The sequence below is a fragment of the Homo sapiens genome, chromosome 3 (assembly GCF_000001405.40).
Source record: "Homo sapiens chromosome 3, GRCh38.p14 Primary Assembly".
Taxonomy (NCBI): Eukaryota; Metazoa; Chordata; class Mammalia; order Primates; family Hominidae; genus Homo; species Homo sapiens.
Window position 1 is genome coordinate 164,450,107 of NC_000003.12, and position 16,211 is coordinate 164,466,317.

At 36.2% G+C, this 16,211-nt stretch overlaps 1 long non-coding RNA gene across 6 annotated transcripts in view; it reads left to right on the plus strand.

Moving 5' to 3' along the window:
- The first annotated feature begins 580 nt into the window (after positions 1-580).
- The window catches only part of LOC105374191 (uncharacterized), a 237,185-nt gene continuing 221,554 nt past the window's right edge, over positions 581-16,211 (plus strand). For 5 of the 6 annotated variants that reach the window (XR_001740998.2, XR_001740999.3, XR_007096284.1 and 2 more), the window contains exon 1: positions 1,140-1,429. This is a non-coding gene — a long non-coding RNA (uncharacterized LOC105374191). Of the gene's footprint in view, positions 652-1,139; positions 1,430-16,211 lie in introns of those variants that run through there. The other variant, XR_924663.2, reaches the window with a different exon arrangement.

Below are 16,211 nucleotides of genomic sequence, written 5' to 3' on the forward strand. Positions count from 1 at the left end.
CTGGTGGCAATAAATTCCCTCAGCATTTGCTTGTCTGAAAAGAATCTTCTTTCTCCACTTATGAAGCTCAGTTTGGCTGCAATAAAATTCTTGTTTGAAAATTTTTCTTTAAGAATGTTGAATATAGGCACCCAATCTCTTCTGGCTTGTAGAGTTTCTGCTGAAAGCTCCGCTGTTAGGTTGATGGAGTTTCCTTAGTAGGTGGCTTGTCCCTTCTCTTTAGCTGCCTTTAACAGTTTTTTTCTTTCATTTTGACCTTGAAGAATTTGATGATTATGTGTCTTAGGAATGGTCTTCTTATATAATAGCGTGCAGGCATTCTCTGCATTTCCTGAATTTGAATGTTGGCCTCTCTAGTGAGATTGAGAAAGCTTTCATGAACAATAACCTGAAATATGTTTTCCAAGTTGCTTGCTTCCTCCCTGTCTCCTTCACATAAACCAATGAGTTGTAGATTTGTTCTCTTTGCCTAATCTCCTATCTCTTGGAGATTTTGTTCATTCTTTTTATTTTTTTTTCTTCAATCTTGTCTGACTGGGTTATTTTAGAGAGCCAGCCTTTGAGCTTTGTGATTCTTTCCTTGGCTTGGTCGGTTCTGCTGTTAATACTCACATTATGCAATTCTTGGAGTGTGTTTTTCAGCTCTATCAGGTCAGTTTGTTCTTTTTTAAAAAATGTTTATTTTATTTAACAGCTCCTGTTTCATTTTATTATAATTCTTAGCTTCCTTGGATTGGGTTTCGACATTCTCCTGAATCTTGATGATCTTTGTCATTTTGGCCATTTCAGCCTGCTAAAGAACCCCTGGTGGGAAATTAGTGTGTTCATTTGGAGGAAAGAAGCCACGATGCCTTTTTGAGTTGTAAGAGTTCTTGTGCTTTTTCTTTCTCATCAGTGTGGGCTGGTGTTCCTTTAACTAGGGTATAAATTGATTACAGTCAGTAGATTTCTTTTCTGTGTGTTTTCAGAGGGCCAAGGCTTTGTTCAGTCTTTATTTGCAGTGAAATTTTTGTCCTGGGTTTCACAGGGAGGTATATTAGCAGAGTATTTTGGTGTTGATGTTTTGGGCCGTGATCCAGTAGGTGGTGCTTAAGCATAATTTCCAGTAGGTAGGCTGTTGCTCAGTCATGTGGCTCTTCACAGTTGTTTCTGTGCTCCCTCTTAGTGCTCTGAAATCTTGGGCTCCTCTCCCTCTTGATTGCTGGCTGAAAATCTTGGCTTGGCACTCCCAAGCTGCACACCACAGCTCTGGGACAATCTCAAGCTTTATATCCCTTCCCATCTTGGAGGAATCAGAGGAAGGAAAGTTAGCAGTGGTTGTGACAGAGGGTTTTTCACTTGTCTCTTGGAGCTCCACCTCAGAAAGACGCAGAGCTGCTATCAATCAGTATGATTGGCCTAGGATGGGGCAGCTGTGCTGTGAGACCAAGTAAGTGGGGCCCTGCCTTGCAACAAATAGCAGGGGTGGGTGGGGCTTGGGGAGACAGACTGGCTTCTTTTCTTTAGGGTTACTACAGCTTGTTGGAGGTGTGGTTAAAGCACTCAGAGTCTTTGCTCCTTCCTCGGCCTGAGGGCAGAAACGGCAGTACCACTACAGGAACAGTGGCAGAGGGGCTTTCAGTTGCCTCTTGGAGCTGCACCTCAGAGAAACACAGAGCCACTGCTACTGGGAATGTTCAGCCAGGGGATGGGGCAGCTGCTCTGCTTGCCCGAACAGCAGCCTCTGTTTGTTAGAGAGTGGGGGATCAAAGGCACACAGGGATGAGATACTGGGCTCCTCTTTCTGTGGTAACTGTGGTATGCTGGAAGCTTGGGTGAAGCCCTTGGGCTCTTTGTTTCTTTCCCAGACTGAGGACAACAGGGGCAACGGGGAAAACCATGGCTGTGGCAGTGGCAGAGGGGCTGTTGGTTGCCTCTGGGAGTCCCTCCCTAGGGAAACACAGAGTCACTACCAGTGAGTATGCTCATCACTGGTGGGGTGGCTGCTCTGTGGTCCCAAGCCAGGGACCCTGCCTGTTGGACAGTCAAGGGTGGGGAACTCACTGGAAAGAGAGATTGGATTCCTCTCTGTATGATGGCTATGATGTGCTAGAGTGTGATGCTTTTGATCCTCCAGGAGACTGCTTAACTAAACATTTAATCTGGCTAAACTGGTAGTTCCAGCAGTGCATTATTTAGGTAAATGGCCAAGAGGAAAGGAGGAAGTTGGGTTTTTTTGCTAACTCCATTCTTTTTTCTCCATCTTGTGCTACTTGGTGATGAATCCTCAAGATGCTGATTTCTTATATAAGTTGTAATATTTGTCAAATGGGAAAAGCTAGAGAGTCAAGACCCTTAACTCTTTTTGAATAGGAACTTAACTTGAAATTTTTGAGCTACAAGTGATGCGTGGATGACAGTAATGTCTGGATGATGCACTCTGCTAGTTAGTGGTGACAGCACTGACATCTCTTTTCTGGGGAGGAAGAACCTCACAAGTGCTTTGATTATCTTTAATACTGGCTCAGTAGGTAGAGGAATCTCTTGCCTTTTTGCCTCTTCTGCCAATGTTAGATTACAAAAATGTAGTAGTATGTTTTGTTGGCAAAGTGAAAGCTGACTGTTTAAAGAAATGTTAATATTCATAATTGAAAACCTAACATCATTATGAAGTCATCAGTAAATTTTATTGCAAAAGCAATGACAGTGACCAATAACTATGGTGGTTGCTTTGGTATTCTGGGAGGAGGGCAACTGGGCTGCAATTCAGAAGTTAGAGTGCACTTAAGTTAGTCATGCTTAGAGATCTTGTGATGTGGAAAGAAAGCTCTAGAGAAAAGAGTCTGTCTAGCATGATTACTACCAGGTGAAGGCAACAAGAAAGCAGCCATTCTTTCATCTCCTCCAGCTGGGAACAGACTCCGATGTGGTAGAGGCTGTTAGCTATACCAGGAATGAAGCAGGAAAGTGAGGATGTAATTTTGGTTATTACCCCACAACAGGGATCAATAGAAGTTCAGGAATTTGCAGAGGATTACAAAAATGGGCAGAAATAGCTTATATATTTAAGACATATTAGACATTTAGGAGAAATTGACACCTAAAAAGGTTATTATAGTATGTTATTTAAAGTGGCAAAACTAGGCGTGGAGTATCATGGGACAATAGAGAAAAAGTTTCTTGCCTAACGTGTTAGGCAAGTGTTGGGCGATGTGTTAAAAGACAGGCTTTTTGATGAAAGTCTCAACAAGGAGATTAATATGAGCACAAGTACAGGTGTGAAACAGTATGCTGTATGTGTGGAGAATTTGGAGGAGTTCTGGATAGCTAGGCTGTGAAGTTTAAGACTAACAGCAGTAGACAATGATTCTGGAGAGAAAGAAAGTTGTGATCAGTAAGATATTCTCTATCTTGTTTGAATAAATGGTCAATTTAGTATTATTTTATAAAACTGATTTATAATTTTTTAACACAAAACATTATTTCTTTTATATTTATTGAAGTCTTATTCCTCCAGTAGAGAAGTTTTTTTAATAGTATGATAACTTGATCTTATGTCCTCATTTTATCATGTAATCTTCAGTATTTTCCACTATTTGTCAGAAACTAAAGGATTAAATAACTGTCAATTTCTTAAAATGAAGCTGGAAATATTTCAAAAACCCAAGTCTGCTCCCTCAACTTATTTTATATTATTAAACTAACACCATTTCTGTTAGTAGACTGCTTGCTGAAAATCATGTCAGTGATATGTTCTAAAATCTGGATGCTCGTGATAAATTGACACAATTGAGTGTCAAACATGCCAACATTTCAGTGAGCAAAATGTACTGGAATATGATATGTGTCAGTTTATTGCTTCTCTAGAAATAGATTGAAAATGAAGTGTTAGAAATAAAGAAGAAAGTGTTTATCTACACATTTGGCATGCTCAGTGTTTTTCTTTTCATCTTTTAAATTTCATAGTTTCCAAGAAGTGCAGAAATGTGAAAAGAATTATTTTTGTACAACTTGGAGTAATAAATATGCATGAGCACTTTTCCAATTATGTGAAAATTGCTTTTTGTAATTTATTTCAGATTTTGTATTAAAGTGTTATAATTACGAGATTACACGTGAATAAACTGGCTGTACATAAATGTTTTCCCATGTCAATTGGGAAATATAAGCATGTTGAGCAGAATTTTCACAAATTATATCTAGTATAATTTATGAAAAAATGCAGCACATATATTTATAAGCATAAAATATATGTATATTTCCAAAAATAGAAAACTCACTCATTTGAGTTTTGCACAACTTAAGTCAATTTGTACTGCATTTCTCTTTTCTCAAGTGGGGCTCCTTTAACTCCAAGGAGATAATAAAGAAAGATTAAAGTCAAAAAGGTAATTCATTGGAATGATATGGATGTATCTCATGAGACCTGATGTCTTAATTGCAATGAGGCTTTTGAAAAGTCTGACTCCAGGAACTAGCAAGCCATGAGGAATCAAGGATATTGCTCTTTTTTTACTCACTCTTAATCTAGATCTTCTTCTCTCTCACTATCTCTGCTTCTCAGTATTCCTCTTTATCTAAAGTTATAAGATTTCTTTTTCTGCCTCTTTTGTCTTATCTGTTTCCATGTTCTCAATTTCAGGCCCAGCATTTCTTCTGCAAGACTTTGTTGTTCACAGTCTTTGGGGAGTGATTAGAAACATTAGGGTCCAGTTTAAATTCCAGAAAGGAACGCTCTCTTGTTAGCATGGCTGGTGAGATATCAATCACAGTTCAGTTCCCCATGATTCTGACAGAGGGCTATGTGGATGTAGGAGAGAGGCTTCTAAAAAAAATAGCTGATTATACATCAGTTATACATCCTTGAGAAGGAGATGTGGGAGTGGGAAGAAAATGATCAAAGGAAAAATATTTGTCATTTCTTGAAAGTGTGATATTTCTTGGAATTCTTCATGTAAAGAGTGAGGTTGAAGGGGATATATATTTTTAGAGGCTGAAAGTAATTTTTTTTCTAGAATTTTCAGTTTATATGTTTTACATGCCAGGGTAGGGCTCATTTGATTTCCCAACAGATCTTTCCACATAATGATATTATAGAATACTATTTTTCCTCCCCTAATGGTGAAGAAAGATAAAACCATTTGGAATCTTATAGGCCTAAGTTTGAATATTGACTTTAATTTACCAGTGTTTGAATGTGAAAAATATTACATTCTCTGTGCTTATGCTTTCTAGTTTATAAAATGAGGAAAAGTAAACCTAACTCATAGGATTTGTATGTTGACTAAATAAACACTCTATCTCTATTATTATAGTACTTCACGTTTAGCAAGTGAGTACTGTGCACTCAATTTTCTTGGCATTCATGTATTTGATCTATTAAATAATACAACATAGGTACAGATCTAGCATATACTATCTACTGTATAAGCGCAAGCTATAATCAATTCCGATTTACCTGTGGTGATTTAATCTGTTTCTAAATTAATTCTGTTTTGAAGAATAGCAAATTTTTTAGAATAAATAAAGTTAGAAAAAAATTAGTGTATACACCTATGTATAAAAATATATTCCATTGCTTGGAGATGCCATTTTGCCAAAAGCTAATATGCTTCTGTTTACCAATCTGGTATGGAACCTAGTAACTAAAAAATAAGATGTCAAGCAAAATATAAACTGGTTAATATTAAACAAAGGCTAACATTATATTAACGAGAAAAATGCATTATAAAAATAACTTAAATTTTAATATAGAATAGAATACAATTTAATATTAAATATAGTAAGTATTTTATAGCCTTTTCTATTTTGAAAAACATAAAAACAAAAATTGAAATAATCTTCATACATTCAGAAGGCAATGCTAGATAAATTTATTTAAAAATGATGTATTAAACACAAAGTAACTCATGAATATGAAAACCTTTTAATGGAATTTTTTAACAGAATGGTAAATTTGGTATATATTTTGGGTGGTTTGTCAAATTCATACAATTCATAGAAGAATATGGAATTTGAGGCAATTAAGTTATGGTAGGTCTCATTTATTACCTGCTAACAGTCATAAAACGTCATTTCTCTGACTTCCCAGGGGAGAGACATTGATGGATTCTAAGACAAATTTTCCTTTCTGAGGAAAAGAAAGGTGCAAGAACACCACCATTCCTTTCCTGTCTGGACCATTTGCATTTTATAACAAAATACAATTGTGTGAGAATATGATAATGCCAAGACCAGCAATATGAAAAAAACAAGCCCAAATACAAAATGTATTCTATTAAAATCAGCAAAGATATTAAATGCAAGTCCACACATAGTCAAGTGAATGCTTGGAAATGTTGGAACAGCTTACATCCTTAATCAGGTTGAGATGTTGAAACAACCATGAAAAGACTACTGTCTGTTTCTCATGTGAAATAACTAATTTTTTTTATCGTGGTGAATAAACACAGCACAACTCTTGCCATCTTAACCACTTTTAAGTTCAGTGACATTAAATACATTCATAACGTTGTGCAAACCTAACTACCATCCATCTCCGTAACTCTTTTTATCTTGTAAAACTAAAACTTTAGACTTATAAAAACAATAACTCCCCATTCTCCACTCTCCCCAGCCCCTGACTGTCAGCATTCTGGCTCTATGATTTTGGCTTTGCTGAGTACCTCATATAAGTGGAGTCGTACAGTATTGATCTTTTTGTGATTGGGTTATTTCACTTAGCATAATATCCTCAAGGTTCATCCACATTGCAGCATATGTCAGAATTTCTTTTCTTTTTAAGGCTGAATAATATTCTATGTATGTATATAGCACATTTTGCTAATCCACTCATCAGTTAATGGACACTTGGTTTGCTTTCAAATTTTAACTGTTGTGAAATTCTGCTATGAACATGGGTATACAAATATCTCTTCAAGGCGCTGCTTTCAATTTTGGGGGGATATAGCCAGAAGTGGAATTGCTACATGATATAGTAATTCTACTTTTAATTTTTTTTTAGGAACTGCCGTACTGTTTTCCACAGTGGCTGAACCATTTTACATTTCCACCAACAGTGCCCACACACACGAGTTCCAGTTTCCTTATATCCTTGCTGACATTTGCTACTTTCTGGCTTTTTGGTAGCAGTCATTCTAATGAGTGTGAGGTGGTATCTGATTGTAGTTTTGATTTGCAACATGATTAGTGATCTTGAGCATCTTGTCATGTACTTCCTGGACGTTTGTATACCTTCTTTGGAGAAATGTCTATTCAAGATATTTGCCCATTTTTTTAAGTAAGTTATTTGTTTTCTTGCTGAGTTTTAAGAGTTCTCTTCAAATTCTGAATATTAATACCTTATAGATATAAAATTCACAACTATTTTCTGTCATTTTGCTGGTTGCCTTTTTATTATGCTGGTAGTGTCTTTTGATAAATATTTTTTAAAAATGTTATAGGGCTGGGTGCGGTGGCTCACGCCTGTAATCCCTGCACTTTGGGAGGCCGAGACGGGCGGATCATGAGGTCAGGAGATCAAGACCATCCTGGCTAACATGGTGAAACCCCGTCTCTACTAATAATACAAAAAAAAAAAAAAATTAGCCGGGCCCGGTGGCAGGCGCCTGTAGTCCCAGCTACTCAGGAGGCTGAGGTAGGAGAATGGCATGAACCCGGGAGGCGGAGCTTGCAGTGAGTCGAGATTGTGCCACTGCACTACAGCCTGGGAGACAGAGTAAGACTCTGTCTCAGAAAAAAAAAAAAAAGTTATAAATTCCAATTTGTCTAATTTTTCTTTTGTTGCATGTGTCTTTTGTGTCATGTCTGTTAACTCATTTCCAAATCTAATATTGTGAGGTTTTTGCCCTATGTTATTACCTAAGAGTTGTGTATGTTTTGGTCTTACATTTAGGTCTTTGATCTATTTTGAGTCAATTTTTGTATCTGGTTCTAGGTAAGGATCCAGTTTTATTACTTTGAAAGTGAGAATCCAGTTTTCCTGGTGCCGTTTGTTGTAAAGATTGTCTTTCTTCCATTAAATGGTCTTGGCACCCTTGTCAAAACTCATATGACCATATATGAGAAGGCTTATTTCTGGGATACCTATTCTATCCCATTGGTGTGTGCATCTGTCTTTATGCTAGTTCTACACTATTTTGCAGTAAGTTTTGAAATAGAAAGTGTGAGTCCTCCAGCTTTGTTCTTCTTTTTCAAGATTGTCTCGGCTACTAGGGGTTGTTTGAGATTCCATATGAATTTAATGATAAATTTTTCTATTCTACAAAAAATATAATTGGAATTTGATAGGAGTTGAATTGAAACTATATACCACTTTGGGCAATATGGATATCTTAAGCATATTCAGTCTTGGCCGGGTGCCTTGTCTCACACCTGTAATTCTAGCACTTTGGGAGGCTGAGGCAGGTGGATAACCTGAGGTCAGGAGTTTGAGACCAGCCTGTCCAACCTGGTGAAACCCTGTCTCTACTAAAAATACAAAAAATTAGCCACGCATGTTAGCAGGTGCCTGTATTCCCAGCTATTCAGGAGCCTGAGCTGGGAGAATCACTTGAACCCGGGACAGGGAGGCTGCAATGAGCTGAGATCACACCACTGCACTCCTGCCTTCCTAAGTTTTTGGGAATACTGATTTGGATAATAATAAAACTGGTCTTTCATGCAGCCAGTGCTATGTGAAAAACTTTTTTTCTGTTGCAATTCCTCTGTCTTGATAAGTCGGTTCTGTCTACGTATCCAGGCAAGGTGTGTCTGTTGAGTGGTAACACATGTGTTTTGTTTGTTTGTTTGTTTGTTTGTTTTTGGTAGAATTATTTTTATTCCTTTGGGTATATACCCAATAGTGGGACTGCTAGATCAAATGGTAATTCTGATTTAAATTATTTCAGAAATTGCCAAAGTGCTTTCCACAATAGCTGAACAAATTTACATTCCCAGGAGTGTATAAGTGTTTCTTTTTCTCTGCAACCTCACCAGAATCTGTTATTTTTTTACTTTTAAATAATAGCCATTCTGACTAATGTGAGATGGTATGTCATTGTGGTTTTGATTTTTCATTTCTCTGATGATTAGTGATGTTGAACATATGCTTGTTGGCCACAAGTATGTCATCTTTTAAAAAGTGTCTGTTCAGCCAGGCGCGGTGGCTCACACTTGTAATCCTAGCACTTTGGGAGGCCGAGGCAAGCGATTGCCTGAGGTTAGGAGTTTGAGACTAGCCTGACCAACATGGTGAAACCTTGTCTCTACTAAAATATAAAAATTAGTTGGGAGTAGTGGTGGGTGCCTGTAATCTCAGCTACTTGGGAGGCTGAGGCGGGATAATCGCTTGAACCCAGGAGGCAGAGGTTGCAGTGAGCCGAGATCGCACCACTGCCCTCCACCCTGGGTGACAAGAGTGAAACTTTGTCTCAAAATAATAATTAAAAAAGTGTCTGTTCATGTCCTTTCCCCAATTTTTAATGGGGCTGTTTGTTTTTTGCTTTTGAATCATTTAAGTTTATTCTTTAAGCCACTATTAGTCATTGTTTTCATCACCTCATCTTCACCCCATTGATATGAGAGGGATATCCATCCTAGAGTTATGCAGCTGGCTGAACACTTGATACCCAACACTGAACAGATGATATAGACAACAGTCTATTAGTCACATAATCACAGTTCAGAGAGAAAGACACTACATTTCATGCAGGGCCCCACAGAGAGTGTACTCAAGAACAGCGTGAACAACCAGGCGTTCTTGGAGGAAGGCTTGTAGTATCAAGGATTTGAGGTAATTCCTGGTTCCCATAGAGTATGTGACTGGCTTGTTTGCATAACTATTTAAATGGCAGTAAACTGAAACCTGCTCTCTAGAGATAAATGAGAACTGCATTTGGTCTATTTGATAAGGAGGGCTGTTTGGCTAGGGGACTTTATCCACAGGAGCAGAGTATGGTAGACAACTCGTAGTTAGGCCATTTGAAATCCTCTCAACTTTCCCAGATGTAAAAGCAACATATAATATTAAACGGTAATTTTAGTCCTCATGCCATGGCCACATATTCTGTTACTTGCAAGTGAAAGTGCCCTAAGTAATAGACGTGCTGATGAAGTGGCTTAATTAGCTTTCATTGAACCTGGCTTTGAGAGATTTACCAAAAAGGATATGAAGATGTAATTTGATGGAGAAGACATTTAAAGTGATAGTAAATACCCATATATGTCTTTTTTGGCCACTCACCAAAAGTTCAGAAGATCATTTATTCAGTAATAAAAATAGATTATGTAGGCTTAGCTTAAATATTTAACAAAAAAGAACAATCTACCAACAAGAAAAACAGCCAATTATATTTTAGCAAAAATTACACTTGTACCACTTTTATACTTCTAGATGGTAATTGTAGACGGAAAAATGTGTTTTTAAATATTTTGCTTAGGTTTAACTAAATAACTTTGTAGTAAATTCATTTTTATTTTACTTTCACTTGCTTTATTTGACCAGGATTTAGGTATTATATTAAATAAAATTATATATTCTTGTTCTTATATCCTTTCTTCTAACACCCTATTATACAAATTCCTAGATAATTTAATTATGTAATAATTATTGTATCAGATGTTTTAGGTGTTTGGCTACAAGTTCCCCTACTACATTCTTTTAGGATTTCTCGTTTGTAATCTCCCCTCTCATTTTCTAGCTTCTAGTAAAAGGCCTAAAAATGGCTGCCATTGTATGTGAATCTATCTCTCCTTCTACAACAGCTTATGTGAATTTCTGACTTCCTGCATGTATCCAACCTAGAAACTCTATTTAAAATTTAAAGTTTTGCCTGTCAACTTGAATACTATGCTTCTGAGTGACTCTTCTTGATATTGATAGCACTTTCAGTTTTACTCCCTGTCTCCCTGCTCGGGTCCAACTGCCTGCCACTCAGACCAGTGACTTAGTCCTCTGCATTTCATGATCATTGCAGAGTTTAATTATTCAGTTCTGGCTGAGCATTCCTTTACTCTCATTTTCTTAACAGCTGGCCTGACGAGACTCTATCTATTTTTAGATCAACTGAATTCTGGTAGTTTCATCTTGATCTCGTGACTATTATTAGGTGAGGCAAGAAGGAGGAGAAAAAGAATACCATACAGCCAGATTATTCTTACTGCTTTTAGTGAGTGAATTCTTGAAAAAGTACTTTCATTGTTAATTTTGCCAAGGATATTTAATCTAATAATTGGAAGGACAAAACTAAGTAAAAAATTATTCATACAATATAAACAGTTTAGTGACTTCCAATGTTTGCCAAGGAGTATATTAAATTCCTGTTAATACTGCAGAACTCATTATTTTAAATGGGCATACAGATTTGGAATTTACATGAAAATAGAAAAAGGAAATTTGGTCATCATTAATGTGGCTTGGGCAACCCTAACTATAATTAGTTTAAATATATAATTAAAATACATTCTTTCTAATAAAACAAAAAGTATTTTAGCATCAAAGGCCAAATTTCAGCAGATATTGTAAAGTTTCAGAATGTTCAAATGAGGTATGCATATTCTGTTCTTTTAATGCATTTAAAATTTTGACTTCAAATCAAGCGTTTGAAGAGATTTTATATATATAAACCTACATATATATATATGTATGTCTCAAAATTATGAAAATAAATATCAAAGGTTGAACAATTTAAACTTTTTTCTCTAAAACATCATATACATTCAGATGTAAATTCAGGGTAACTTTTTTTTTTAGAAAAATGATATATTTTATTTGTTACCATGTCCAAAATATCATCATTTCAATATGAAATTAGTGTTTTTTTAATTAAATCTTTTTTTCTTTTTCAACATATATCTTAGATTCTTGGGTACACGTGCAGGCTTGTTACAAAGGTATATTGTGTGATGCTGGGGTTTGGAGTACAATTCAACCTGTCACCCAGGAAGTGATCATAGTACCCAATAGGTAGTTTTTCAGCCCTTGTCTCCCTCTTCCCTTCCCCTGTTGTATTCTCCAATGTCTATTGTTCCCATCTTTATGTCCATGTGTACCCAATGTTTACCTCCCACTTATAAGTGAGAGCATGTGGTATTTGGTTTTCAGCTTGTGCATTAGTTTACTTAGGATAATCACCTCCAGCTCTATTCAATGTTGCTGCAAATAACATAATTTCATTATTTTCTATGGTGCATATGTATCGCATTTTCTTTAATCCTCCACTGATGAGCACCTGAGTTGGTTTCATGTCTTTGCTATTGTGAATAGTGCTATGATGAGCATATGGATACCTGTATTTTCAGTACAGTAATTTATTTTCCTTTGAGTATATACCCAGTAATGAGATTACTGTGTCAAATGGTAGTTCAACCCTGTTCTTTGAAAAATATCCAAACTGCTCTCCATAGTGGCTGCACTAATTTATACTCCCACCAGCAGTGTATAAGCATTCCATTTTCTCTGCAACCTAGCCAGCATCTATTATTGTTTGACTTTTTAACAAAGCCATTCTCACTGGTGTGAGATAGTATATCATTGTGATTTTGATTTGCATTTCTCTAATGATTATGATGCTGACCACTTTTTGGTATGTTTGTTGGCCACTTGGATGTCGTCATTTAAGAAGTGTCTGTTTGTATCTTTTGGCCACTTTTAAATGGGGTTGTTTTTTCATTGTTTATTTGTTTAGTTCCTTTTAGATTCTGGATAGTAGGCCTATGTCAGATGCATAGTTTGCAAATATTTTCTTCCATGCTGTAGGTTGTCTGTTTACTCTGTCAATAGTTTCTCTTGCTGTGTGGAAGTTCTTTACTTCAATTAGGTCCTACTCATGGATTTTTGTTGTTGTTGCAATTGCTTTTGAAGAGGGCCATAAATTATTTTCCAAGGCTGATGTGAGAAAGTTATTTTCAAGGTTTTCTTCTGGAATTTATATAGTTCGAGAATGTATACTTAAGTCTTTAATCTATCTTGAGTTAATTTTGCTATATGGTGACAGGGGCCTGAATGTCACCCTGAATGTCTGGTTAACATTTTTAATAAATGATGTTAATGCCTCACTAGCAAATACAAATAGACTAATAAATATTAAGTTGATATTTATAAACTGTTTTTTACTTTTCTGCCAATATTTTAGACATAGGAGTTTAAATTTTAAAAAGATATTAAAACATTATAAAATATTCCAGTTTTGCCAATACCTTGAAATTGATTAATCACATTATGAATGGTTTTGACATATAAACAAAGAAATTTTTTTAATGAACTCTTTTCTCCCTCCTCCAAAAATTTTAAAAATGCCAGATTGTTATAGAAACATGGTGTCTGATTCTCCTATAAGCACAAATGCTCTTTCACACTTGGGTGCTTGTTCAAGTCTAGAAACTTTGGCTCAACCTGCAGGCACAGGCTGTGGGAAGAAAAGGCTTAGAAGCCTGTGGTAGAAGTCAGCAAACTTAGGGTGACTGGAGAAGAATTGCCTACTCAGTTCCTTAATTGGTGGCCAATGAATGACAGTAACTTACTATAGTTATTCAGTTATACCAACATTGACAGGACTTTCCCACAGTTATCAAGCAAATAAAACACAATATTTTATGGGATTTTTGGTTTAGAATTATCAAATTTGATTAATTTTATAGATTTTTTTCTCATCTTATTTTATCTTAAATTGAAATGTAAAGAAATCACAATATAATTTTTATCTATCAAATAATAATCTTGAGATATTTATTTGGGTCTAATAAATTTAATGTACTGTTTATTTTTTTATTTGAATAGTTGCCCAATTTGAGCAATTATACTCTGTAAAGAAAAGATGAAATCTTAGGAACAAAATATGTTGTCTTGTATCTTTCAGCATTTTATTTAAATAAAATTCCATTTACTTGGCAATCATACAAAGCTAAGCTATTTCAATTCACTTTCCCTCTGTTTATCACTTTATCCCTTTCCTCTTTTTTGTTTCTTCATTTCTTCCTTCTTTCATCTATTTTTAGTTGTTTTATTCACAATTTCAGATCATTTTACAAATAATCTTTAGATGCCAATATTGAAAGCAAATTCACAGTCTAGACATATTAGAGATTTACCTAGTAGAATTGTATTTGTTTCCACTAAACGGAATTAATGTACAGCAGTATTCAGTCTTGTGCATTGGAAGAGAAACGTATTCAGGAATTAATATTTAAATAGAATATCTGAATTGTGGCAGATTTTGGTGTTATTTTTATATTTTAGTGTTGTGGTAAACATGTATTATTTTCTTTACTTTAAAATTCTGGTTTTCTAAAAGTTGGAATAATGGTATAGAAAAATTTACCATTTGAAGTGTAATGTCTATTTTCAATGATATAGTTTCTAAGAAACAGTGAAATCTTCAGATTAAAAATTTTGATCCAGGTGCTACGGCTCACGCCTGTAATCCCAGCACTTTGGGAGGCTGAGGCGGGTGGGTCACCTGAGGTCAGGAGTTCGAGACCAGCCTGGCCAACATGATGAAACCACATCTCTACTAAAAATACAAAAATTAGCTGGGTGTGGTGGTGGGTGCCTGTAATCTCAGCTACTCCGGAAGCTGATGCAGGAGAATTTCTTGAACCCAGGAGGCAAAGGTTGCAGTGAGCTGAGATCGCACCACTGCACTCCAGCATGGGGAACAAGAGTGAAACTCTGTTTTAAAAAGTTTGATGTATATATTTCTTATATTGTTTTATAAGTAAACTAAACCAACATAAGCATATTTAGGCAAAATGGTTTTAAAATCATGTGCGTAGATATGTTAATGCTATGAAAATTGATCCCTTGATTTATAAAAGCTTTCTGAAACTAAATGATATTGAATTAAATTTATATTTAAGCAATATATTATAATATTTCATAATATTACATTTATTATGCAGTCATATTATAATTCAAGTGGGCATAGGGCAATTAAATCGAGATTTGTACAATAGATTTGAGAAAGCAATAGAGCTTGAACAGGGTAGTAATTTTACTATTTGGACTCCATATTTTTCAGCTATCCCAACATACACATGTACCTATCAACTGAAAAATGTAGCTGGACAAAACTGTAATATTCTAAGGTTCTACAGCTCTGGCTGTAATACTAGTTATCATTCTCTTTGTTATTGACAACAAATATAGTCTCTGTCTCAGTTAAAGATTCCTTTCATTGCTGTCTGAATTTGTTGTTTATAATTTGTCTCTTTGGCTTAACTGGAGAGATTATTTCTCTCTCAAGGCCCATGCTATTTCTTACTACTTGTTTATGACATATCGCACTGGAATCAGATCCTCATCGTATTGCTCAAGTGAGTCAGCAGATTGGCTTGTTTGGATGATTATGGAAGTGGGTGAAATATGGGATGGTATTTAATCTGGTAAAAATGGAGTTAAGAGTGGTGTAAAAGGAAACTAAATCTTGGGGCCACAAAATCCCTAAGCTAAAGGGAGAAGTCAAGCTGGGAACTGCTTAGGGCAAATCTGTCTCCCATTCTATTCAAAGTCACCCCTCTGCTCACTGAGATAAATGTGTATCTGATTGCCTCATTTGGAGAGCCTAATCAGAAATGCAAAAGAATGCAGTGATTTTCATTTTATCCACTTATGACCTGGAAGCCCTCTCCCCACTTCAAGTTGTCTGACCTTTGCCTTGAGTTGTCCCACCTTTCCAGACTGAACCACTGTACATCTCAAACATACTAATTGATGTTTTATATCTCCCTAAAATGTATAAAATCAAGCTGTGCCCCTACCACCTTGGGCAGTTGTCTTCAGGACCTCCTGAGGCTGTGTCATGGGAGCCTGTCCTCAATATTGGCAAAATAAACTTTCTAAATTAACTGTAACCTGTCTTAGATTTTCTAGGTTTACATTTTGGTAACCACGAAGGGATTCTGAGTGGAGATGCCCATGACCTTTGACAAATCTTCTATTGCTTGAAACCAGCATGAGCTAACTTTATGGCTCAAACCCATAGGACAAATTGCTGAGGTCTGAGAGCACCCCCTTCATAGAATCCCTGATCTTCCAAAATTTGGTTGAGATCTAAAGTTCATCTTGCTGTACAGCTCCTCCCACCCACCCTTATTTTTTTGAGATGGAGTTTTGCTCTGTTGCCCAGGCTGGAGTGCAGTGGCATGATCTTGGCTCACTGCAACCTCTGCCTGCTGGGTTCAAGTGATTCTCCTGCCTCAGCCTCCCAAGTAGCTGGGATTACAGGCACATGCCACTACGCCTGGCACATTTTTGT